This window comes from Homo sapiens, chromosome 1 (assembly GCF_000001405.40).
Source record: "Homo sapiens chromosome 1, GRCh38.p14 Primary Assembly".
In the NCBI taxonomy this organism is placed as follows: Eukaryota; Metazoa; Chordata; class Mammalia; order Primates; family Hominidae; genus Homo; species Homo sapiens.
Window position 1 is genome coordinate 166,667,254 of NC_000001.11, and position 27,082 is coordinate 166,694,335.

The 27,082-nt window shown below is 36.1% G+C and overlaps 1 pseudogene, besides 1 other annotated feature; it reads left to right on the top strand.

Annotated features, from left to right (window-relative positions):
- The window catches only part of FMO10P (flavin containing dimethylaniline monoxygenase 10, pseudogene), a 50,211-nt pseudogene that overhangs the window by 18,104 nt on the left and 5,025 nt on the right, over nt 1-27,082 (top strand).
- Nucleotides 7,601-8,800: an enhancer, noted in NCBI's record as "MED14-independent group 3 enhancer chr1:166644091-166645290 (GRCh37/hg19 assembly coordinates)". NCBI's record gives its function as "activates an origin of replication core promoter dependent on BRD2, BRD4, P300/CBP and CDK7 cofactors, and independent of MED14, by STARR-seq in HCT116 cells {active_cell/tissue: HCT116}" and the evidence as "EXISTENCE:reporter gene assay evidence [ECO:0000049][PMID:35650434]".

The window sequence follows — 27,082 nt, forward strand, 5'->3', positions numbered from 1 at the left end:
ACATGTATGCATATGTAACAAACCTGCACGTTGTGCACATGTACCCTAAAACGTAAAGTATAATTAAAAATAATAATAATAATAATGTCTTCATCATTTATGCAGCCAACAGACACATGAAAAAATGCTCATCATCAATGGTCATCAGAGAAATGCAAATCAAAACCACAATGAGATACCATCTCACACCAGTTAGAATGGCTACCATTAAAAAATCAGGAAACAACAGATGCCAGAGAGGATGTAGAGAAATAGGAATGCTTTTACACTGTTGGTGGGAGTGTAAATTAGTTCAGCCATTGTGGAAGACAGTGTGGTGATTCCTCAAGGATCTAGAACTAGAAATACCATTTGACCCAGCAATCCCATTACTGGGTATATACCCAAAGGATTATAAATCATGCTACTATAAAGACACATGCACATGTATGTTTATTGCAGTACTATTCACAATAACAAAGACTTGGAACCAACCCAAATGTCCATCAATGATAGCCTGGATTAAGAAAATGTGGCACATATACACTATGGAATACTATGCAGCCATAAAAAGGGATGAGTTCATGTACTTTGCAGGGACATGGATGAAGCTGGAAACCATCATTCTCAGCAAACTATCACAAGGACAGAAAACCAACCACCACATGTTCTCACTCATAGGTGGGAATTGATCAATGAGAACACTTGGACACAGGGCAAGGAACATCACACACCAGGGCCTGTCGGGGGTGGGGGGCTGGGGGAGGGATAGCATTAGGATAAATACCTAATGTAAATGACGAGTTAATGGGTGCAGCACACCAACACGGAATATGTATACCTATGTATCAAACCTGCACATTGTGCACATGTACCCTAGAACTTAAAGTATAATAATAAAAATAGAAAGTATAAGTAAAAAAAAAGTCTTCTTGAAGTATAATTCATTTTTTTAAAAAAGCAGCCTTTTTTCTCTTAAGTATTCAACATATTTTTCTAATACTTTTTGTTTTTAACCCTTAACTTTTTTCTTTTTTTTTGTTTTTTTTTTGTTTTTTTGAGATGGAGTCTCGCTCTGTCTCTCCAGGCTGGAGTGCAGCGGCGCAATCTCGGCTCACTGCAAGCTCTGCCTTCCGGCTTCACGCCATTCTCCTGCCTCAGCCTCCCAATTAGCTGGGACTACAGGCGCCTGCCACCACGCCCGGCTAATTTTTTGTATTTTTAGTAGAGACGTGGTTTCACCGTGGTCTCTATCTCCTGATCTCATGATCCGCCCTCCTCGGCCTCCCAAAGTGCTGGGATTACAGGCGTGAGCCACCGCGCCGGCCTATCCCTTAACATTTTAATATACATCACATTTGCATGATTTTTTTTTCTCTCAACTTTCATAATGCTTTTTTCCAGGGGCTTCTCTTAATCCAAATTCTTTTAGTTGTGGTGTCTTTTTTACCCTTTGGAAGTTTCTCTTCTCAACCCCTTTTTGTCTGTTTTAATTTTGTTTGTTATGCTGCATTTTAGCATCTATAATCTTCCTCCTGTTAAGTTATAATGTAATTACTGGTATTAATTTAGGTCTGTCATTATAAGCAAAATTCTGAACTGTAAAGAGTTCTCTTTGTAGAGAAATGAGTCCAATGCCTCCGTTGTTCCTGTTGGGCAATATTACAGTAAACTGACTGTCAAGTACATTTTTTCAAGGAAAAAATAAGCCTAAAACCACCTGTCTGATCATACCTAACCATTCTTTGTTGTGCTACTGAATCCTGAAAGCCATGGGTTTGTTGTTTCCCACAGGAAACACCTGAAAGTGGAAGGCCTGGGATATACAAATCTATGATCTTCAACGCTTCAAAGGAGACGACAGCCTTCAGCGACTACCCTTTCCCTGATCATTATCCCAACTATTTGCACAATTCCAAAATGATGGAGTATCTCAGGATGTACACCAGGCACTTTCACCTCATGAAGCACATCCAGTTTCTGGTAAGGAATGAAAAGTATGCTCATCACCTACAGATTGTTGAAGGCAAAGCTTGTGTAAGCCAGAGAAAGCTAAGGCGTATTTTCAATTTGCATTTTCCATTACAATTCAGAGAAAAATAGCATGTCTTCTATTAGTCTCAAGATTAGTGAATCTAATATTAGTTTTCCCAGCAGAGGAAAAGCATTGTCTCATTATTTGAACCTAAAATCTAGTTTTCAATTAATTTTATTAAATAGAGAATATAAGTTATAGGGAAAAATTAATGTGTTTTTTTCTCTAAGGTACCTTGATGTCTGGAAAGGATCATTTTAGGACATTTATGTGAACAAAATTCCTAAAGATCTAGAAACTCTGAATATAAAAGGCACCGCCTATTTTATTTGTTAAGACACAGAATTGGGGGGAAAAAAAGTGGAAGACTGAGAACAATACTCTGAAACCAAGGCTGTCTTTGTTTCTTTATTCCCAGTCAAAGGTGTGCAGAGTGAGGAAGCACCCAGATTTTTCATCCTCTGGCCAGTGGGATGTTGTGGTAGAAACCGATGGGAAGCAGAAATCCTATGTCTTTGATGGGATCATGACTTGCAGTGGCTATTACAATTAAAAGTGTTTGCCCTTAAAGGATTTCCCTGGTGTTTAACTGATGAGTGTACAAGAAAAATCTTTGCATTCTAAGAATTGTAATATCTGCAGTATTACAGCATTGGACAGAACTGTTTACATGGTACAGTGGGGATTAAAAAAAAGAGGGTGTAGCAACTTTCTGGAATAGCCAGGAAAGATCTGATAATAGAAATAACACTTGAACTAGAAACTAAGAGTTCCTCAGGAAAACCAAGGTCTGGGAGCAGGCATTCCTGTAAGAGGAAGTCATACAAGAAAAGCAATAGCATGTGAAATAGTCGCAGGAGCTCAGGGAACGACACTCACTTGATGTTCCTGAAGCAGGTGAGTGTGCAGGGAGAGATATGTAGGAGTCAATAAAAGACCATTGAAGTGTGTGTGTGTGTGTGTCTGTGTGTGTGTTTATATGTTTGGAGGGGCAGGTACATGATTATACTTTTATTTTGTAAAGATCAGTCTTGCAGTGATGTGGAATATTAATTGATACGGAAGAAGGGGACAAAGCAGGAACATCAATAAAGAGGGTTTTTTAATAGTCCATTAAAGAGATGGTGAAAGCCTCTAGTAAAGTAATGGTAGTAGGACGCAAAAGGAGGAGAAAAATTCAGGAAATATTTTGGAGGTCATTACAAGACTCAATGAATGATAAAATATGTGACAATTTTTTATTTAATATTTTTGAAATTTTACTTTTTATTTTTGAAATACTATTTAATATTTTTGAAAAATAATACTTTTTTTTTCCTTGAGTTGGAGTCTCTCTCTGTTGCCCAGGCTGGAGTACAATGGCGCCATCTCAGCTCACTGCAACCTCCACCTCCTGGGTTCAAGCGATTCTCCCGCCTCAGCCTCCTGAGTAGCTGGGATTACAGGTACATGCCACTATGCCTGGCTAATTTTTGTATTTTTAGTAGAGACGGGGTTTCACCATGTTGGCCAGGCTGGTCTCGAACCCCTGACCTCATGATCCGCCCGCCTCAGCCTCTCAAAGTGCTGGGATAATAGGTGTGAGCCACCAGGCCCAGCCAAATTTTTTAAAGATGTTTTGAAATTTCTGTTACTCTAGATTTGCACCATCTTAGTCACTGCTAGCAAGATGTTGCTACTGAGCATTTGCAATGTGGCTAACAGGAATTGAGATGTAATTTCAATGTAAAATACACACCAGCTTTTGAAGACATAGTAAAAATGTAAAAAATATGTCAATAATACCTTTGTAAGCAGGACAATGGCCATGGAAGTCCGAATCCACTAAGGAGTATGTAAGAACTCACCTGCCTAAAACAATTTATTGATAATAAAGTATAAAAAATTAAAAATTAAAAGAACCTTTGTATATCAATTATATACTGATAACATCTTAGATTTTGTTGGGTTAAATAAAATATATTATTAAAGTTAATATCTTTTTTCTACTTTTTTCATATTACTACTAGAAAATTTAAAATTGCATATGTGGTTGAATTATATTTCTTTTAGACAACACTGCTCTATATTGCTAAGTATCTTTACATATTTTTTAAATCAATTTATGGAGTCATAAAAATAGAACAACAGTTCCTCATGAATCAGTAGAGAGTAAGGAAAAGGTAATACCTCCTAAAGTGACAAGTCATCATATTGAGCAAATTTAAAGCTGGATTTTTGAAAGGAAACATTAATATGCTCTGATTTTTGTCTTAGGCATATCATTGCTGCCACTGGATATTTCATTCCTTGGATAATCTCATTTTGAAACATTGGCAGCAACTGACCAACCAACAAAGAAAGGGATTTAAGTAACATATACTTCAAGTTTAGAAATAAATTTTCTAAAACAGTCTTTCCTATTTCTGTTTGTGATTTAAGAGATTCTACCCTTTCCTTATAGGGATCGAGAACTTCCAAGGTCCATATCTCCACACCTAGGCATACAAGCATCTCGACTATTTTGTGGGGAAGAGAGTGGTTGTGGTCAGCATTGAGGATTCTGGAGCAGATGTGGCTGGCGAGATCAGTCATGTTGCTGAACAGGTTTGACATTCTAAACTGATTCTGTTCTTGGTGTAACCTTGATATCTGCAAAGCATGGCCCATGGTGAGTCTAGGCTTTTGTTAGCCCCAACCTTGACTGCTGCTCTCCAACCTGGTAAAAGCACTTTCTTCTTCTGACTTTTCACCATGAGTGAAAGAATGTAGAAAACCAAAATAATGGTACCCTCCCATACCATAATGCACTGAAATTATGGAAGATAGCAATCAAACTAGAGTCAGATAACGGGAGTTATCGAGGTGTAGCTACGCTAGAGAGATGGAAACTTTCAAACTGAAATGAATTTTACAGAAAATGCCAAAATTTTCATACTGGAAATAACGTTTAAACATAGAAATATATACACAAGCATGAGTAAAAATACACTGCTGATACAAGAGCAAGGAATAGGGTGGAAATTCTGTGGGCTCCCACTGACTGAAAAAAATGAAGAGTAGGAAAAAAATTAGCTATTTTCTTCTCTGCAGGGAATGTTATTGACCCCTAAAGAGCATAGAGAGATTACTTTTCAAAACTCAAAATTAATTTTCATTTCTGATTTAGGATTTCCAGGAAGAAGACACAAGATTTCCACTACTTAAAGTCTTCTGTATGGATGAAATTCAATCAATCATTCTGAGTGCCATCTTACCCCCTGCCAAGCATTGTATGTAAGATATAATGATAAATGAGTCATAATCTCTGAGATTAAAGACCTCACAAGCTAGTGATTTTATTTTCATTAAAAACTCAGTAGCCTTTTTAAAATCTCAGTTAAATAATTCAAAATAGAGAATTTTTAAAATGTATCCTCTATTTTTCATGGACTTCATACTTTTCACGTTAAATTTTCCATTTGTAAATGTGAAAAAATTCAAGATGTGCATTTTTACATTGCATTTTTGATTTGTGTGTGTGTGTGTGTGTGTGTGCATGTTTTGTTGTTGGTGTTTGTTTGTTTGTTTTCCTAATAAAGGCATGGTCTCTCTCTGTCACCCAGGCTAGAATGCAGTGGCACTATTGTAGCTCACTGCAATCTTGAACTCCTGGGCTCAGGCGATCCTACTGCCTCAGCCTCCCAAAGCACTAAGATTACAGGCATGAGCCACCATGCCCAGCCTGTATTTTTGTTGTTATCTCAGTCTTTGCATCCATATATTTTTCCATCAGTCTAAATTGTAGAATGATAGAAAGGAGAAGGAACCTGGATACTAACTTGTAGCTCTCAACATAATAAATTATTCATGTTAACTTTTTTTCCACATTGTGAGACCTAAGAGATTCCAGATATCTAGCACAGCTGTAAGTGAACATTAAAATGGAAACAGAAAAAACAATAAAAGAATTAAAATGACTTTAAATGATTGGACCTGAGAAATGTATAGAGTGAAAGAGGAGGAAGAGAATCAGGGAGGGGGGATGAGATGATATGAGAAGTTAATTATATTCCCTTGACAGTTTAGAAAAAAATGCATCTGAGCTTCTGAGATAACAGTAATAAGAAATAAAATGGTAATTTGGCAACGACTTCTCTCCTGCAGGTTTTCCTCAGTACAAGACAAGGTGCATGGATATGGAACCGGGTTTGGGATAATGGGAATCCCCTTGATATCACACTCTTCACTCATTATAATAGAATAATGGAAAAAATTTTCCCCACATTCATGATCAACAGATGGGTAGAAAATAAATGAAATGCAAGGCTTAACCATGACAATTATGGGCTACAGCCTCAACACAGATAAGGCCTAGGATTTAAAACAAATAAACAGTATTTCAAAGCTACTAGACCAAGCAGAATCTATAAGCTATATTTAAGAAATAAGAATGAAAGGGTACCATTCTAATATTTGGTAGCATTTAGTTGGATAGAGAATATTCAAGTTATTTCCTTCCTACTAGTAACTTAAGGTCATTCTACTAAGGTTCTACTGAGAAAACAATGTGGGGGGTTGGGAGTAGGGGAGTAGAGACAAACTTTAATACTTGTTTTATTTGAGACTCACACCATCTAACTATGCCACCCTCTATTTCCTCTTTCACTATCATCTGTTAACCACTTCCTCTTCACTCCCAGATTGAAAACTTTGATTCCTCTGGAGGGCATGACTGTCACCCTCAAACCTATTGTCAACCAGGACAATTTCAATATCTGTATGTATGACTACTCAATACCCATGCAGTGCAGCCCCTCGACTTCCCCAACTGCACTGGTCTCGTGTCCACTTCACTTGAGTCAACCACACCCATGGCCATCCTGGAACTTATCACCCAGAACTACAGTGTATCCGGATGTCATTCCAGGGCCCATTCTGTGATTGCAGCCTCTTCCTTTTACACTCTCATCCCACTACATGCTAGCCAGTTCTCTGACCTTATCCAGTCCTCTCATCCCCTGTCTTCCTCTTCTTGTTCTTTCATCTCTGTTACCACTTTTCCTCTATTTTCTTTCTTGCTCCCCTTTCCCCACTTGTCCCTCAAAACTTGGTGTTATCCATGTATCTATTCTTGGTCCTCTTCCCTTTTCTCCCTACACAGCTTCCTTTATTTAAAAAATTTAAAAACACCCCAGGCAAAAGATAAAAGCTTGAACTAAAGCACTGAAAATAAAAAAAATAGTATTAAGAAGTATCTGGAAGAAAAAGCATACATAGCGTTATGACTAACTGATGTTGGATGTGTGACTCCAGGTTCTTTCCTGAGGAAAAAGTATTCAGAAGATGAAAGATGTGTATTAATAGTAAAGTGGAACTGAAAATATGACTTCTTGCTACTAAATTATAGCTCAAGTACTAAATTACAATTACCAAAGATCTGTGTGTCACTGAACATAAGTTTTTCCAATGAAGATTCACTCTTAAAATCACACAGTTGCACCTTGTAGGCCCTTGAAAAATATTAATGACCAACTGGTGTTAATATTTACATTATATTGAGTGAAACTATATCTGTTAAGAATCAAAAAGCTTTATTCCTGGAAAAAAATACTATTAGCTAAAAGTATATTTAGCTAAAAATAATTGGGTGTATTATCACCTGATTATCACAATCTGATCTGATTGTTATTATTATCATTTTACAGATTAGGAAACTGAGACTGAAATGTTATGAGACTTTTCCAAGGTCTCACAACTAGTAAGTGACAGGACCATTATTAGTCTAGTTCTGACTCTGAAAATCAAGTTTGTAAGCAATAAACTGTATCTCCTTTTCAGGAATGCCAATATAGAATATAAAAAATTGTTAAAATACTATGGTGATTTCCTGAGCATTTGCCAACCAAAACTTGTTTATGAAGAAAATTTATACTCCCTTCTTGATGTTACACTCTTTGCCATGCAGATTTCTCAGCCATCAGGCTACTGTGAATGATGATCTGCCTAACCACATAATTTCTGGAAGAGTCCTGATGAAACCAGACATGAGAGAGTTCACCACAACATCAGCCTTCTTTGAGGATGGCACTGAAAAGAACATTGATGCTGTCATCTTTGCTACAGGCTACACCTTGTCTTTCCCTTTCTTGGAGGATGACTCAGCAATCCTGGACAGCCAGTACTCCGTGTTTAAATTTATGTTCCCTCCCCAGCTGGAGAAGCCAACACTAACCTAGCTTCATTGGCATTCTCCAGCCAGTGGGAGCCATCATTCCCATTTCAGAACTCCAGAGCCGATGCGCTGTGCAAGTATTCGAGGGTAAGTGGTGGTCTTCTGCATGAGCAAAGTAGGTTCCTAATTATACAGTAAGACGTTAAGAGCACTCAGAAGGTCTTCTGTTCAATACATCTTCTCCCTTACTCTATTGAAGTGCCTGAAATTTCACCATTAAAAATGGACTACGTTGGGACTATCTAGAGTTTTGATTTTCCACTTCTAAGAGAATCCTATTAAAAGAAAAGCATTCCAGGAATTATAAAAACACATAAAATTATAATCAGGTTACATTTTGGTATTTTGTATCCATTCATTTATTTATTTCCAGTAGAAAGCTAATTTATCATAAGACTTTAAGGAAACAGAAAATAGAGAAGGTAGGAAAACAAACAAGGGAGAATATACTTATGAAAGTATTTCAGAAAGGTTGCGAAGTTATTTTACTTTGTTGGACAACTCCAAGTATTTGGTTCATATTCTTGACTCATTTCCAAAGTCCTTACCTTTGATGCTTCAGAGCAAATTGGTAAAATTGGTATCAGAAAGAAATCAGGGCTGGGCACGGTGGCTCACGCCTGTAATCCCAACACTTTAGGAGGCTGAGGCAGGCGGATGACTTGAGGTCAGGTGTTTGAGACCAGCCTGGCCAACATGGTGAAATCCTATCTCCACTAAAAATACAAAAATTAGCTGGGCATGGTGGCGCATGCCTGTAATCCCAAGTACTTGGGAGGCTGAGGTGGGAGAATTGCTTGAACCCAGTGGGTGAAAAACAAAAAAGAAGAAGAAAAAAAGAAATCAGGATCAAGTTTGATAGAATTGCATTGTAGTTTCTGCTAACCAGAGTAAATTGATGAAGTCATCTGGACAACTTTCCCTCGGATTCCTAAATAATTGTTACCAAGTTCTCCATGATCTGATTAATGAGAAGTCAGAATTGTATCTAATCAGGATACATCACCAGACACTTCTTTCCTGATGAGTCAAAATGTGATAGAAAATAGTAGATACCTTCACTGAATCCTTTACTTTTGAGACATAAAATTATCAATTAGACAAGTCAAGAATTTAAAAGATGTACTGCTGTACACTGAGGCCAGAGCTCATATCTAAGTGGCTTATGTTGTTTCTGTATCTTACCTCATTCACTTTCTAAAGCCATGTGGTTATTCCCTCAGTGAAGTCATTTCTAATAATAACACATTTTATTCTCATTTAAAAATATCTACAGTATATCACTACTTTAGGCAGATATGTTGGTTTCCATATACATATATCTTGCTCCTCTTTCTTCTAGCAAGTATACATTTTCTTTGCTGACTTCCACTATGAATCCATGCCTGGAAATATGAGCACCAATAAATACCAGTGGAATGTTGAAAGGTGACAAATGGATAATATGATGGTAGCCATAAAAGAGAATAGTTACAAAGTCACTTATCATGCTTACTGGATTTAGCTACCTGTACTTGATTGCATTTTTTAAAATAAACATTTTTAAAGATTTATTTCAGTATAATATATACATAGAAAAGTACCATGCCATGAATGTTTAGCTTACTGAATTTTCACAAATTGAACAACACTCACCTACTCAACCATCACTTAGTTTAAAAAAATATATAACAACAAAAAACTCAACAACATGACTAGCACTCAGAAGCTCCCCCTGCAGTTTTTTCTGTCCCCAGCATGACCAAGAGTAACCACTATTTTCATTTCTAATAGCAGCAGTTCATTTTCACTTTTCAATTTTTTTCACAATGTGTGTTGTATTCTGTTTGGATTCTTTCACTCAACTTGATATTTGTGAGATTCATCCATATTTTGTACTAATTTATTTTCACTACTATATAGCATTCCATATACTTATCCATTGTAGATATGGATTTGTATATATATATATACTTATCCATTGTAGATATGGATTTGTATATATATATATATATATATACACTTATCCATTGTAGATATGGATTTGTGTATATATATACCCACAATCACCCATTCCACTTTGATGGGCATTTAGAGTTATTGTAAACAGGGATGCCCTGAACAATCTAATACATGTCTTTTGTTGAATACACATATTTCTGTGGGGTGTATACTGAGGAAAATAATTGCTGCTTCACAAGGTATGCGTATGTATAAAATAGCATTTTAATGTACTAGGTTGCCTTTCTATTCTGCAAGTCTGTTTCTTCGATGTCTTGCATACTCAACCTCTATATTATGTTTCATAAGACATTTAACAATATTCATGAGTAGATCCTACTTTTGTACCAACAGATATGTGCACCTGATGAAGCAATGAGGGGAATAATTTAGAAGTTGATGGGCCTGCCTCTCTTTGTTCTGTTACCCTGATTTATTGTCTTTTCCCACTCTAACCTTTGTCATGTCCTCTCTCCCCACAAAACACAAACATGCACTTATACATTCATCTTCTTTTTTATTACTTGCTTTTCTTTTTAACAAATATAGTTATTGCAACCTTGAGAAATTCATGAATGTATAAGTGAGAACTGAGTTTTTCCAATTGCTCTGAGAACTGAGAAAAATCATTTTTGAGATGTAAGATCAATGCCAGGACCTATTCACATAATGAGAGGGACTTTTGAGGCAGATCACAGTACAGTTTGAAGATCTCTGGGAAATTAAAAATTATATCAAGGGAATTCTTAATATTTAAGAATTTTGATTGCAGATTTAAACTGAGAAACAACTCCAAACATACTTTTCTTAAGGGAAGGCTAACTTCCCTTCCACAACCCGAGAATGATAGAAAGGAAAATATCTTCCTTGAGAATTTTTTTTTATAAAAGGCTTTGGTTATATGTTCCATAAAGACCTGATTATTATAACTGTGTTCTTTCAAAACCACTGTTTTCATTTACTTGTTTTCTCCAGCTTTCCTGACAATCCTCTTATTTCTATCTCTTTCTTAGTACTGAAAAAATTACTCTCCACAAGTGCCATGATAGCTGACATCAACAGGAGGAAAAAGAAAATGGCAAAAGAGTAAGAAACTTAATTGTTGGTTAAAGTAAATGAAGCCTACTTAGACAGAGATACTTGATTTTTCTCATTATGTACTTTACACCTAAATGAGATCTCCTAAGATAATTTTAGTTCGTTGTGAAAAATGTACATGGAGTTCATGTATAAAAATGCCTGGCTATGGAACATAAATCTCATCATTTGTTGGTCAGCCATAGAATATTAAATCTATGCAATGAAGGCCAGGCATGGTGGCTCATGCCTGTAATCCCAGCATTTGGGAGGCTGAGGTAGGCAGATCACCTGAGGTTGGGAGATCAAGACCAGCCTGACCAACATGGAGAAACTTTGTCTCTACTAAAAATACAAAATTAGCCAGGCATGGTGGTTCATGCCTGTAATCCCAGCTACTGGGGAGCCTGAGGCAGGAGAATCGCTTGAACCCAGGAGGCGGAGGTTGCAGTGAGCCAAGATCGCGCCATTGCGCTCCAGTCTGGGCAACAAGAGCAAAACTCCGTCTCAAAAAAATAAATAAATAAAAATAAAAATAAAAAATCTATGCAGTGAGCAATCTCCAAAAGTGAGAAATGTCAAGAAACTTTATTCATTGCGAGAAGTGAGATCACAAAAACTACATGAGAAATTAGCAAAATTCAGAATCTAAAGAAAAATATTTTACAGATGTATAATTAAGTGAAGAGTAACTTAAGATGATGTACATTCATTTCAAATTGTTAAACACCTACTTTGTGCACTTTGTAATAAATTTCCATTCTAAGAGCATCCTTAGGGGAATTTTGGAAGAGATGCTAAAATACCATTATTATAATTTAATAACTAAGCCACCAATATAAACTGTAAGACTAAATATGACATGTAAATATCATTTACGTTTCCTATGATCTCATGTCTCTACTTAAGTCTATACTTATTCATTTTTATTTGCTAAAATAGATTTTCCCTTTGTATTTTCTGTCTGATTACTTTGGGTTTTTAGGAAAGTTACTGATTTATATACATTTATTTTGTAATAACATTTTACTTTAAATTTTTGCTGATTATAATATTTATTTGATTATCTTAGATTTGCTGAGTAGACCATGAAAATAACTGTAATTTAGACTCTTCTTTCCTTTTATTTATTTCTTTTTTCTGGTATTACTACCTTGGCTGTAACTTACAGGATGATCTTAGATAATAGAGAAGACTATACCTATTCTTGCTTTGTTACTGATTTTGTTGAGATCACCTCTAGTATTTCACCATTAGGTATGATACTGTCTACTGGAGGCTGAGAAAGTATCCTTCTCTTCCTATCTTATGCAAAGAAACGCATGTTGAATTTCATCAAGTGCCTTTGACCATGTTTTTTTCCTTAGTTTTATTTTTTATTTTATTTTGTATTTCAATAGTTTTTGGGGTACAAGTGGTTTTTCGCTACAGGGGTGAATTGTATAGTGGTGAAGTCTGAGATTTTAGTGTACCCATCACCTGAATAGTGTACATGTACCCAATATGTAGTTTTTGATTTCTCACCTCCCAATCCCTCCCTCCTCCTTCTCAGTCTCCATAGCTCATAATATCACTCTGTCTGCCTTTGTGTACTCATAGCTTAGCTCTCACTTAAAAGTAAAAACATACCGTATTTGGTTTTCCATTCCTGAGTTACTTCACTTAGACTAATGGCCTCCAGCTCCATTTAAGTTACTGCAAAAGAAATTATTTCATTCTTTTTAATGGCTGAGTAGTATTCCATGGTGCATATGTACCACATCTTCTTTATCCATTCATTGGTGGATGGGCATTTAGATTGGTTCCATATCTTTGCAATTGTGAATTGTGCTGCAATAAACATACACGTGCAAGTGCCTTTTGACTATATTTTTAAATGATATGAATTTTCACCATTGATTTGTTGATGGCATGAATTATAGTAATATATTTCCAAATACTAAACATTTCTTAATTTCCAGGAATACGGACTACTTGGTTATTGTGTATAATTATTTCAATATACCGTTAAATTCTATTTGATAGAATTTAACGGTATATTAAATTTATAGACGGAATTGGTCTGTGATTTTCCCTTAGATGGAATGTGATTTTAGATGGTATGTGATTTTCCCTTAGATGGAATTGGTCTGTGATTTTCCTTTTTGTTTTCACTTTTGTTTCGATTTTTATTATGTTATTAAGCTTATACGAACTTTACAAAATGAATAAGGAAAGTTTAGTGCTTTTCTATGGTCAGAAACAACTTAAATAGACTTAAATAGAATGGGGAGTTCAAGTTACTTGGAAATTTGAAGTAAAAAAAATCGATAAAATTGACATTAGCACCCCACGCTTATTTTAGAAATAATTCCTAGACCGCATTTTCCATTGTTTGCTTTATTAGGGGTCTAGTTGCATTCTTCTGTTCTTGTGAAAGGTAAAGATACATTGTATTAGAAAATTATCATACTTATCTAATTTTGCAAACTTTAAGCCTGTAGTTATGCACAATATTTTCTTATCTTAATTGCTCTTATTTTTTGTATAAAATTCTTATTTATTTTTATATGTATAGTATTTGTCTTTTTCTTCTTTTGACTAAACCTTCAAAAATTTCTCTATTTTATGTTTATTTTTATTTTTCAAGCAACTACCTTTGAGATTTTTCAATTCTCCTTTTTTATGAATTTAGTCTTTCACCTTAATGCCTTATTACTACTTTCCTTGGCTTTGTTTTGTGTTCCTTTCAAACTTCATTATTTGGCTACTTGGTGCATTTACTTTACATTATTTTTTCTTGGATAATACTAACTTTTTTCTCTCCTAACATTTTGAAAAGTTTTGATATTTTTAAGATAGTCTGTAATTCCAATTTGGTTTCCTCTTTTACCCAAGAGTTATTTAACAGAGTGATGTTTAATTTCCAAGTATGTGGATCAAGTCACATAAAAGTGAATAAAAACTAATTCATGACTGTCTAGGAATATTACTTAAGGGCAGAATTTGTGTCCAGGATTAATACATGGAAAAGATAGTTCATGTAGCTTGGAAGCATGAAGTACGCAACAGAGTTTAACACTCTACTCAAATCATATATTCCTCACTTACCAAGGCTTACGTAATGAAACTGCATTTTGTGTCTAGAAGGGGAATCAGTATCTAAGATTGCATCCATTCACATATCCAACAATTTCTGTGTGTACGTGACTCTACTTGGTACTTTGGGAACTTTAAAGATATCAGGAATTCACATCTTCTGTTTAGGAAATGTATTCTTCTAAGGAAATTAAGGCATGTGCATGAAATTTGATAAGAGGATGATTTGGTTAGTAGAAGATAATGAAGTCAATAAACGAAGCAGAAACAAATTCCAGTGTAAACTTAGAGGAGAATAGTGACTGAAATCTGGCACGGGGCTTCTAATGTTTTCTTCTTATTCCAGGTTTATAAAAAGCCCAAGAGATACACATCAAGTGCCATGTATTGACTACATGGATGAAATTGCATCTGAATTAGAGTCAAACCCAACCTGTTCTCTCTCCTCCTCTGGGATACAAGGTTAGCCAAAGAGATTTTCTATGGGCCTTGCACCGCATGTCAATATTGCCTACAGGGGCCAGGGAAATGGACCAGGGCCCAGAAGGCCATTCTTACTGAAAGAGACCGGATCCTCAAACCCCTGAGAACACGTGTGGTCAAACACACTAGACCTTCTTCCTCTAGTCTGTGCTGCCCTTTTTCTCTTTGTTTCCATGTGAGGCATCCATGCCAGTGATATGTTATCAAGCTCACATTGACATAGATGTTTAAGGAACTAGAGAAGAACAGCTCATTTTTATTTGAATTATATCAAAATGAAGACAGTTAATTATATGGGAGAAGACATTTATTGGATAGACTAGCTCATATATGAATACTTAAATGAAAAAAAATTACTCTGATAATGATTTTTCTAAATGCTTTATATGAAGAGAGGTTTGAAAATGTGTATCTTATCTCTTCTTTATTTTAGTAGTAATTTGAAGTATTTACAGATTTACATATAATATGACAATGAACAGTAATTAAAAGTGGTATTCAATTTTTAAAAGGGTAGAGGCAAAATTAAACCAGAGTAAAGCTCAAAAGTACACTGTATGGTCTCAAATTATCACCCCACAGATAACATATTTATTGCAAAAGGAAGATGTGTCTTTTCAATGGGAAAATCTGACAGTTATCATCTTAACTAAGTGATCAAACAGCACTGTTAATAGAAGGCCAACCTGAAATTTTGCAACTCCTAACATGACGCAATGAGAAGTCCAACATTACCTATCTAGTATCATTGCAAAAAATGTTTAACTTGAATTTAATCATCAGGAACAATCAGAAAAATGAAGAAAGTGCAACATTCTGAAGACATCTGTAAAAAACTAAACTAAAAAAGACCAGGAAAAATTTTCTATATAATGGTGACTAAAGAGACATAATGACCAGATGCAATATTTGAACATGGATTCAGAGTTTGGTACAAATGGGAAAATTTAAATGCACACTGTAAATTAGATTATCTTTTTAAATTAATGTTAATATTATCTGATATAATAAAGGTATTATAGTTATATAGTAAAACATTCTTATTTTTGGGAGATGTATGCAGAAATAGAATGAGTAAAGAATCATGATATCTATAATTTATTTGCAAAAGGTACAAGAAAAAGGATGTATGTGTGTGTAAGAGAGAGATAAAATAAAAGATACAAAATATAAGCAACTGGCAATTCTAGGAAAAAAGTATACAAGTGTTAATTATACTATTTCTTCAACTCTTGCAAATTGGGAATTTTCAAAATTCCCAATTTTAGGGAAAAACACATTCTCTATAATGATTTATATGTGGGCCACAGATAAGCCATAAATTTGAGTTTAACTTTTTATTAACCAAACCAAAAAGGAAAGCTTAAATAAGCAAATGGTAAGACTTATGAAATAAAAACAATTCAATTGCTAAAGAGAATAGTAACTATCCTAGGTATTAAAATAGGGAAGAACTTTCTATGGGGGCTTCTTATAATAGAGGACACTATGTTGTAACAATCTTTGCTAAATATTATTTCTATCAAAAGAAATTTTTATAAATGTTTAAAGCATAGTCCCAGAAAGTGTCTAGAGTAGAGCAATTTTTAAGACAGTAATTTTGATCACAGGGTCTTATTCTTTAACGTGTAGTAGAATGGGGCTCAAACTCTTCGTGTAATTGAAAGACTGGGTGGTGCAGCTGTCCCTAAAGAAGCTCAGTCCACCCGCCTAAGACTTGAGTTCAAGGAGTGCTTGCTTCGGGGGTCAAGATTATTTCTGGTAAATTATTTTGAATCTGCTCCTCATAGGCAAAGGACTGATTGAGGCCCCTAAATTCTACTCTTTATATTACGGCCAAATGAATTTTAATGTGCAAAAATATATTGAACAAACTTTCGAAAGAATATTCATTTGAACATTCTGTTGAACCCTTTACAGTAAACTTTGAAATATATGCCAATAAAAATGAGTTAACTTATTGTAAGGGATTGCAATTTATAAAACAGTTAACAGCTGAGCACAATAGCTTAAGCCTGTAATCCAAGTGCTTTGGGAGGCAAAGGAAGGAGGTTCTATTGAGGCCAGGAGTTCAAGATTAGCCTGGGCAATATAGAAAAACTTCATCTCTACAAAAAATAAATAAAAAATTAATCGTGCCTGGTGGTGTGCACCTGTAGTTCTAGCTAATCAGGAGGCTGAGGTAGAAGGATTGCTTCAGCCCAGGAGTCTGAGGCTGCAGTGATATATGATCATATCACTGCACTCCAGCCTGGATAACAAAGTGTGACTTTGTTTCTAAAAACTAAAAGAGAAAAAAAAAATAACTAAAAACTGTTAAAAGTTGAGAAATATCTATCAAAAATAATAAATTTAGATTAGAATTAGCTAACCTTTACCATTTTTTTTAGCAACAACTAACTAGCAGGGTCACCTGTCTATTTAGACCCTTCTAAGATCAAAATTTGTTCTCAACTTTTATTTTAGAATCTAGAAGTACATGTGCAGATTTGTTATAAAGGTATAGTGTGTGATGCTGAGGTGTGGAGTACAAATGATTCTGTCATCCATGTAATAGGCATAGTACCCAGTAGGTAGTTTTTCAACACTTGATCCCCTACTCCCCACCTCTTGTATTCCCCAGTATCTATTGTTTCCATCTTTATGTTCATGTGTACCCAGTGTTTAGCTCCTATTTATAAGTGAGGACATGTGGTATTTTGTTTTCTATTCCTGTGTTAGTTTACTTAGGGTAATGGCTTCCAGCTACATCCATGTTGCTGCAAAGAGCATGATTTTGTTCTTTTTTATGGCTGCATAGTATTCCATGGTATATATGTATCCTATTTTCTTTATCCAACTCACCATTGATAGGCATGGGTTGACTCCATATCTTTGCTATTGTGAATAGTACTGCAATGAACATACAAGTGCATGTGTCTTTTTGGTAGAACAATTTATTTTCCTCTGGGTATGTATCCAATAATGGAATTGCTGCATCAAATGGTAGTTCAACTCTTAGCTCCTTGAGAAAACTATAAACTGCTCTCCACAGTGGTTGAACTAATTTACATTCCTGTCAACAGTGTATAAGCGTTCCATTTATTCTGCAGCCTCTCCAACATCTGTTATTTTTTTACTTTTCAACAAAAGCCACTCTGACTGGCGTAAGATGGTATCTCATTGTGGTTTTGATGTGCATTTCACTAATGATTAGCAATGATGAGCATTTTTTCATACATTTGTTGGCTGCATGTATGTCTTTTTTTAACTTTTAAGTTCAGGGGTACATATGCAGCTTTGTTACATAGGTAAACTTGCATCATGGGAGTTTGTTTTACAGATTATTTCATCACCCAGGTATCAAGCCTCATACTCATTGGTTATTTCTCCTGATCCTCTCCCTCCTCCCACCCTCCACCCTTTTATCAGCCCAAGTGTGTGTTGTTCCCCTCTATATGTCCATGTGTTGTCATCATTTAGCTCCCACTTATAAGTGAGAACATGAAGGATTTGGTTTTCTGTTCTTGTGTTAGTTTGCTAAGGATAATGAACCCCAGCTCCAACCACGTCCTTGCAAAGGACATGATCTCATTCTTTTTAATGGCTGCATAGTATTTCATGTTGTATATATACCACATTTTCTTTATCCAGTCTATCATTGATGGCATTTCCATTGATTCTATGTCTTTGCTATTGTGAACAGTGCTGCAATGAACATACACGTGCATGTGTCTTTAAAACAGAATGATTCACATTCCTTTGGGTGTATGCTCAGTAATGGGATTGCTGGATCAAATGGTATTTCTTTCTTAAGGTCTTTGAGGAATCACCACACTTCTTCCACAATGGTTGAACTAATTTACATTCCCACCAACAGTGTATAAGCCTTCCTTTTTCTACACAACTTTGCCAGCATGTTATTTTTTGATAACATGTGATATGGTGTCTCATTGTGGTTTTGATTTGCATTTCACTAATTATCAGTGATGTTGAAGTTTTTTTCATATGATTGTTGGCCACGTGTATGTCTTCTTTTGAAAAGTGTCTGTTCATGTTCTTTGCCCATTTTTTATGAGGTTGTTGGATTTTTCCCTTGTAAATCTGAGGGCATTATATAATGGTAAAGGGTTCAATTCAACAAGAAAATCTAACTATTCTAAATATATGTGATATATGCACAACTTTCCACCCAAAAACAGCAGAATATACATTCTTCTTATTACCACATGGCACATAATCTAAAATCAATTGCATAATCAATAATAAAACACTTCTCAGCAAATGTCTTATTTTGAGAAGTGTCTGCTCATGTCCTTTGCCTGCATTTTAATGGGGTTGTTTTTTGCTTGTTGATTTGTTTAAGTTCCTTATAGATTCTGGACTTTTGTCAGATGCATAGTTTTTGAAAATTTTCTCTCATTCTGTAGGTTGTCTGTTTACTTACTGATAGTTTTGCTGTGTAGAAGTTCTTTAGTTTCAGTAGATCCCACTTGTCAATTTTTTGTTTTTGTTCCAATTGTTTTTGAGGACTTAGCCACAAATTTTTTGCCAAGGCCAACATTGAGAAAGGTATTTCCTGGGTTTTCTTCTAGGACTCTTAGTTTGAGGTCTTACATTTAAGTCTTTAATCCATCTTGAGTTAATTTTTGTACATAATGATAGGTAGGGGTCCAGTTTAAATCTTCTCCATATGGCTAGCCAGCTATCCCAGCACCATTTGTTAAATAGGAAGTTCTTTCCCCATTAATTATTTTTTGTACCTTTGTCGAAGATCAGATGGCTGTAGGTGTGTGGCTTTATTTCTGGGTTCTCTATGCTGTTCCATTGGTCTATGTGTCTGTTTTTGTACCCGTACCATGCTCTTTTGGTTACTATAGCCTTGTAGTATAGTTTGAAGTCAGGTAATGTAATCTTTCTGGCTTTGTTCTTTTTGCTTAGGTAATATGTCTTTAAAACCATATTATCTTTTTAAAATAAATAGGCAATATGTTTTAAAACATGTTTTAAAACATTTTAAAACAAAATTTTTTAAGCATTTTAAAGATATAAGTTTAAGGAGGAAGAAGAGATATAGAGGAAGAGGGAGAGTGAAATCTTCCAGTTATTCTGGGTTAAAACTCCGTAATTACATTTTTGAAAAATCTATAGCTTTGCTGTGGTGCTATCACTTTGATCTTTGACTTCTGTGTCCAAAGGGCCGGTGGTTTGAAATTGGACAAGGCCCATTTTTTCTTCTAAGGTAGAACCAACTTTTAAAAAGCAGCTCCAAATAATTAGAACTATTTAATAGTAAACTGAATAGTTTCACAGTGGCAGCCATAGATGGAGATAGAACAACGTCAAGAGAAAGCATGCATGATGCTGATTTACTGCACTATGAGGAAGCCTTCACTAGAGGCATGCCTCCACCTTTGCATCCTATTTGGGAGTGTTGATTCTGACATTCAGTGGGGTCTCTCCTCTCTTCATCAAGCAGAATAAAGGTTCTTCATGCATCTGATGTCTCTGTCTTTCATTCCCTGACTATTGGTTCCCACATGTGTGACAGCAATTTTGGGTAAATGCATCTGCTCTGCAAACCTAAAGTCTCCCTTGATGGGTCTCCTTAGGTTCAAGACTTAGGAAGAACTATTAGAAAGCCCAACTGCAGCTGCATGTCAACGCCACAATCTATCTTCAACTTTATCAGAAATAAAGTTGGTGTTTTCATTACCATATGCCTGACTCCTGTGTCTTAATTCTGACTTGTTTCTGAACTCAGAAGGGATTTAAGGGCTGTGAGCAATTATTACCCCAAATGCCAAAACAGAGCACTGTTATGAGAAATTTTGGAGATGGAAGAACAAGGATGGAAAGAGAGGCTACCAACACGTGTGAAATCAGGACTATTGTGGTACCAAAGGACGTAGAAAAAAAGAAAATCTATGGGGGAGAAAAGTGAAGTACCAAATGAAGAGCTATAAGAACACCAAGTGAGATCCTACAACCTCACCCTCACTTCCGCTCTGATCCACAGCACCTTAGTATTCTCTCATGAAGAATGGAAAGAATTGGAGACTCCTCACTACTAGATAAGAACTTGGAGGATCTTGATGCAGGAGCATTAAATCCTAATTTTATTTCCATAGGAGTTCTACCAGCATCCTCTTTTTGAGGATAGGGGATAAAGTTTACAAGACAGAAGTTTACATAATATCTCAGCTACCCTTAAGGATTTCTAGGTGAGAAAAAGAGAGATTCTGTTCATTATTCCTAAACACTTTATAAATTAAGGTATATGAAACTATGTTTTTCCTATTTGCTAGAATGTTTTCACTAGAAATCTGTGACTATGACAATATTTCAAGATCTGTATTACTAAATTTCAACCTCAGTGGGAGATTGGCATCCACAATCCCAAAATAATGGAAGGTGTGAAGATGTTAACAGAATTTAATTATCAATTTTTCTTAAAGCAAGACAAAGCTATCTACACAAAGCCAGGTCATAGTACAGATATCTCAAGAGTCAGGACTCTAAACTGTAAGCCCACTGAGGAACAGACTGTCAGCTTTATCTTAAGCTTCTCTCCTAAGTAAAGCTGTGGACTGGAGCTCTTGCTTGTCTCCTTGTTCCATTACCTAAGTACATTCATTTTCACACTTCTATTCCAACTGTGGACTCTTTTACTTTTTCCCTGACCTCTCCAGTAAAAGTCCCCTCCTTTTCCTTTTCATTCACATCCATTAATTATAGCCTAGGCAAAAATTTCAAAGAGTTTTAGATTGACTACTTATCCAACCAACCAACACATACACACTGTTTGCTAAGTTATAATTTAGGAAATAGGTCAGAAATCAATTCAGAATAACAGAACACTTTTTTATGACTTTGATGTGGTTAACCTCATAAAAGAAAATTCAGCAGAGACTTAGCAGCCTAAGCCTAAGGCATTTCTGTCTTAAGTATGTATTAGTATATATTACATTTATATTAGCTTCCTAAGTATATGTGTTTATTAGCAAGTATTTTTCAGAAATTACCCTTTTATTAAAAGTTCACGTCATTCTAAATACTTTTTTCTGAACTTTCTTCAGAAAAGAAAATTAAAACTGTTGAAAATTCTAAAAATTCAAATGATAACAGCTGCCCCAGGACTTGCTTCTTTAATAGTATTAATGATTCTCATCATTTTAGAGATAATTAACTACCAAAATTTATGCTTATGGGCTTGAGGTGATTTGAGTCTATAACAGTATTACTATAACTTTGTTACAGGGTGAAATATCAGAAAAATAATATGGTATAATGGAGCAAATAACAATTTGAGGAAATTTTTCACTGAATTAGCTGATTATTTCACCATTCTGCACTTTCAGTTGGCAGGTTCTTTAGTGTATGTATTGGTTGGTTGTATAAGTACTCAATGATGACAACTACTTAAGAAGTAGCAGAATCTAAGTTTCTCTAAAATACTTGATCTACCTAGATCTTAAGAGACTCTTGGAAATTTATTCTAGGGTTTGGGGTGGTCCTCTATTTTCATATTTGTGTAAACTTGACATACTACCTGGATACTCCCTGTTGTTTATTTATACAAGAGGCAGAACAGTTTTGTTTCTGAGATCTTGTGTTCTACAGCCAGGCAGCTTGAGTTCCAATCCTGGCTCTCCCACTTGCCAGCTCTGTGATCATAGGCGAGTTATTTGCTCTCGTTATGTTTGGTTCCCTCGTCTATAAAATGTGAGTGATAATATAGTGCCTACCTCACTTTAAATAAGTTAAGGATGTTTAAAATAGTACCTGCCACAGCATGAGCACTCAAACAGGTGGCTATGTTAGTAAATGTTAGCTGTTAACATGGCATGTCAAGCTGTTAAGTGTCAATCACATTTATGTGGCCCATTTGTGATCCTGATTCCATATTCTCTAGTGTAAAGAAAATTTATAAGAAACCAAGATAGATAACTTTGCAGTTGGCAAGTTCATTTGTGTTTCCAACTGATATTATGTCACAGTACCTTGAGAATGTCTACATTATTTCTTCTTCCAATGTGGTATTATACCATACATACTCTTGTGACTTGCTTATAAATTATTTAAGCAAACCAATATTGGACATTTCTGTTGTTCTGAAAAATCCCCTATTATTTCCCTGACATTGGACCATGTCTTTCTTTATTCAATTGTGTCAAAATCTCTTCTAAGAACAGAAGATGAAGGGCAGATTGATTTACTCAGCTTTTAATTAATTTCCTAGATTCTAGTTATCATTCATGTATTTCAGCTCTATTTTGTCACATTTTTCCTACTTATAATACCTGATCCTTTGATAAACTGAATCTGTAAAGCACATAAAAAAACTAAACTGTCAATACTTCTTCCTAGTTTTGCTGAACCTGCAGAGCTTTATTTGTGGATACAACACCTTTCAGAATGCCATCCTCATTCCCAAACACTCCCTTCATTCAACACCCCACCGTCACTAGACTGAGTCCACCATTTTCTGAGAACTGTTGTTTATGAATCAGTGTAGAAAAAAGGAGAATGCTGCCCCAAAAAGCATCACAAAGTTATGGCTGGTAGAGCTTCATGGTCTCCAAGCCAGGAAAGCGAATGGGAAAAAGGGTTTCATAAGAGCCAGCCAAATGCCAATTTTTTTTCTTTTTATTTTTTCTTTTTTTTTTTTTAATGAGACAGAGTCTCGCTCTGTTGCCCAGGCAGGCTGGAGTGCAGTGGTGCAATCTCAGCTCACCACAACCCCCACTTCCTAGGTTCAAGCGATTCTCATGCCTCAGCTTTCCAAGCAGCTGGGATTACAGCTGGGTGCCACCACACCCAGCTAATTTTTTGTATTTTCAGTAGAGATGAGGTTTCACCATGTTGGCCAGGCTGGTCCCAGTACTTTGGGAAGCCAAGGCAGGCAGATCACTTGAAGTCAGGAGTTCAAGACCAAATGCCATCTTTAAAATAAAAACCTGCCATGCTATTTGATTAGCCATTAGTATCCCTTCTTCCTTAATATTTTTTATTTTAAATTCCTTTTTGATGTCTTTATTCATCCAAAAAGGGTAATATTTAATATTTAAATGTTATAGCAAAAATATGTACAGTATATGATATATCCTCAATCACTTTCAGCTGCCCTATTCGGACCTTCTAGGATAGTTTTAATAGCATCATACTTAACTCTTCGTTCAAATTCAGTCCCCAAAAATGTAAGCAGTGGGAGGGGTCTAGACACATACTGTTGCTGAAAGCCTCAGGCTCCAAAGCCAGACTGACATGGGTTCAAATCCCAGTCCTACCTCTTACTGCTAAGTAACAAGGGGCAAATTGCCTCGCCCAAATGAGTCTCTGTGTCTCGTCTGTGACATGTGGATAACAGTACCTACCCCACAGAGGAGCTGCAAAGAGTAAATGAATAAAGCATGAGTGGTATGTCTCAGCACTGTGCCTTATAAGTGTTAGATATCACGATTACTATCATTCTCTGTTGCATCCTTATTCTCCTGAGGAAGTCAAAGTGCAAGTTAGAGCCAGGTGCTGTGGCTCTTTCCTGTAGTCCCAGCGATGCGGGAGGCTGAGGTGGCAGATCTCTGGAGCCCAAGAGATTGAGGCTTCAGTGAGTCATGATTGCTTCACTGCACTCCAGCCTGGGTAAGAAAGAAAGACCCTGTCTCAAAAAAAAAAAAAAAAAAAAATAGTGCAAGTTAGATCTCAATCTTTGAAAAATGGCAGGCACAGAGCTATTGAGCCAGCCCAGGAACAGAAGCCCCACTGCAGTCATGTGATGTGCCTGAATGTTTATTCAACCCAAGACCAGGAAATCTCCAAAGCAAATACTTCTGAACTTCCTAAACTCTACATTTTCAATTCTTAGGGAAATTAGTGTATATATACATTAGTGTATACAATATTCTGAATTAAAGTGCCTCTCAATATTTATAGCTCTTCAGCACACTGAATATGCCCACCAAAAAATGTTAATTTTGATGATAAATTATTTCATAAAAGTGAAACAAAATTTGTCAAACTGACCCTAGAAATAAAAGTTGTATTAGAAATGAGGATGTGGCTCAAAGTCTTCAAACATCTTTTTTATTTCAAAGGCACTTGGGCAGCAGCAACCTGTGAATTCAGGGATGGGCTAAAGAATATTCTGCTGTCCTTGGTTTTCTAGATGTCTCAGACACTATAGGGTGAGGAAGTGACCCAAGGTATTTGTAAAGCCAGGGCTAGATGTGAACTCTAGGATCTGTCCTTCCTGGATGAATGAACTATTTGACTCTATTAGAAACCCCCAGATAAATACATACAATAAGATTAGCGTTGCTGAGAATGGTTTGGTCCACTTCAGAGAGACCCCCCTCAAAACAAATGAATCCTTTTATAGGGAATAAAAAAGCCTTGACAGTCTCTCTTTTCTCAGACAACACCCAGCAAAGAAATGAACCCACTGAAGTCTTGACTAACACTCCTGATTAAATCACTCCCACTGGGCAGGCCGATGCCTGAGGGGAATAAATGAGTAAGAAAACACATTACAAGGTTAGTAGTTTTGACATGTGGCTTTTCCTGAATCTTTAAAGGAATCTATTTCAAAATAATGATACCTATAAATGTGAAACAATTTGAAACATGAACTAATTATTCTATATAATGCCTTTAGATGCCAGGAAGCATTAATATCTCTTCTTGTTTGAGTGATGAAACACATATGTGAAGTTGGCTGCCTTAAGGCACCACAGTTAATAGACATTAAGACCCAGTAACATCCAGAGTAGATTGTACGGGTCAAATCACACAGCTGTTGCAGGAATGGAGTCCTGATCCAGACCCCAAGAGAGTGTTCTTGGATCTTGGATCTCATGCAAAAAAGAATTCAGGGCAAGTCCATAGACGAAAGTGAAAAGAAGTTTGTTAAGAAAGTAAAGGAATAAAAGAATGGCTACTCCACAGAGCAGCCCGATGCCTGCTGGTTGCCCATTTTTATGGTTATTCCTTGATTATATGCTAAACAAGGGGTGGATTCCTCATGCCTCCCCTTTTTAGACCATACAGGGCAACTTCCTGACATTGCCATGGCATCTGTAAACTGTCATGGCATAAATTGTTATGGTGGGAGTAAAGCAGTGAGGACGATCAGAGAGGTCACTTTCGTGGCTATCTTGGTTTTGGTGGAGTTTTAGCCAGCTTCTTTACTGCAACATGCTTTATCAGCAAGGTCTTTATGGCCTGTATCTTGTGCTGACCTCCTATCTCATCCTGTGATTTAGAATGCCTTAACCATCTGAGAATGCAGCCCAGTAGGTCTCAGCCTCATTTTAACCAGCTCCTATTCAAGATGGAGTTGCTTTGGTTCACACGCCTCTGACACAGCTGCCCTATCTCTGTTTCCAAAGGCTTGAAGGAAACTCCAGTCAATCAGGAAATACGTCTATGTGGCTGTAATGCTGCAGGAGGTGGGAGACCTGCTGACCTGCACTGTTCACTGTTCACCATACAGTAGCTTCACACTCATATGATGACCCTTCAAAGACTGGGAGTCACAGGTTTACAGTTTCCCCAGTTTGCTGGAATTCAAGTGGGTATCACAATGGCTTATCACCTTGGTACCCCACCTATGTAAAATTCAAAACATAATAGATCCTTATGTTCTCAGAAAATCCACCCCTTAGATAATCCTTCCCTATGGCTTAGACATCCTGTTTAATCAGCAGACAAAACCAGTTGAAGCATGAACCTATTCTGACCCCCAAGGAAGCACCACTTTTCTAATACTGTGCTAGCAATATTTTCCACTTACGGAATTTTATTTATTTATTTATTTATTTATTTATTTATTTATTTATTCATCACTGAAACAAACGTTTCCTGAGCTCCAGACACTGTTCTAGGCACTACAAATATAGCAGTAAACAAGAAAGTCAAAATCTCTTCCTGTGAGCCACACACTCTAGGGGGAGAAAAATACTCAACAGATAAATAAACAGTATCATGGAGGCGGAAAGACCAATAAGAAAAATAAAGCAAGATAAGAGACTAGAAAGTGACCTGGAACAGAGATAAAGAGGACTTCTTTCTCAAACAGACTGGTCAAGGAAGAACTTTGAGGAAGAACATTTGAGCAGAGACCTTAATGAAGTGAGGGAGATAATGACTGTCAGCAACTTGGTGGAAAGTTTTTCTGATTCTTTTTTATGCATACAAATACACAAACTGTTTTCTCGCAAAAATTGGAACATACTATATCAATTTTGTTGTAAACTTCCATAGTTTATTTCAGTAATCTA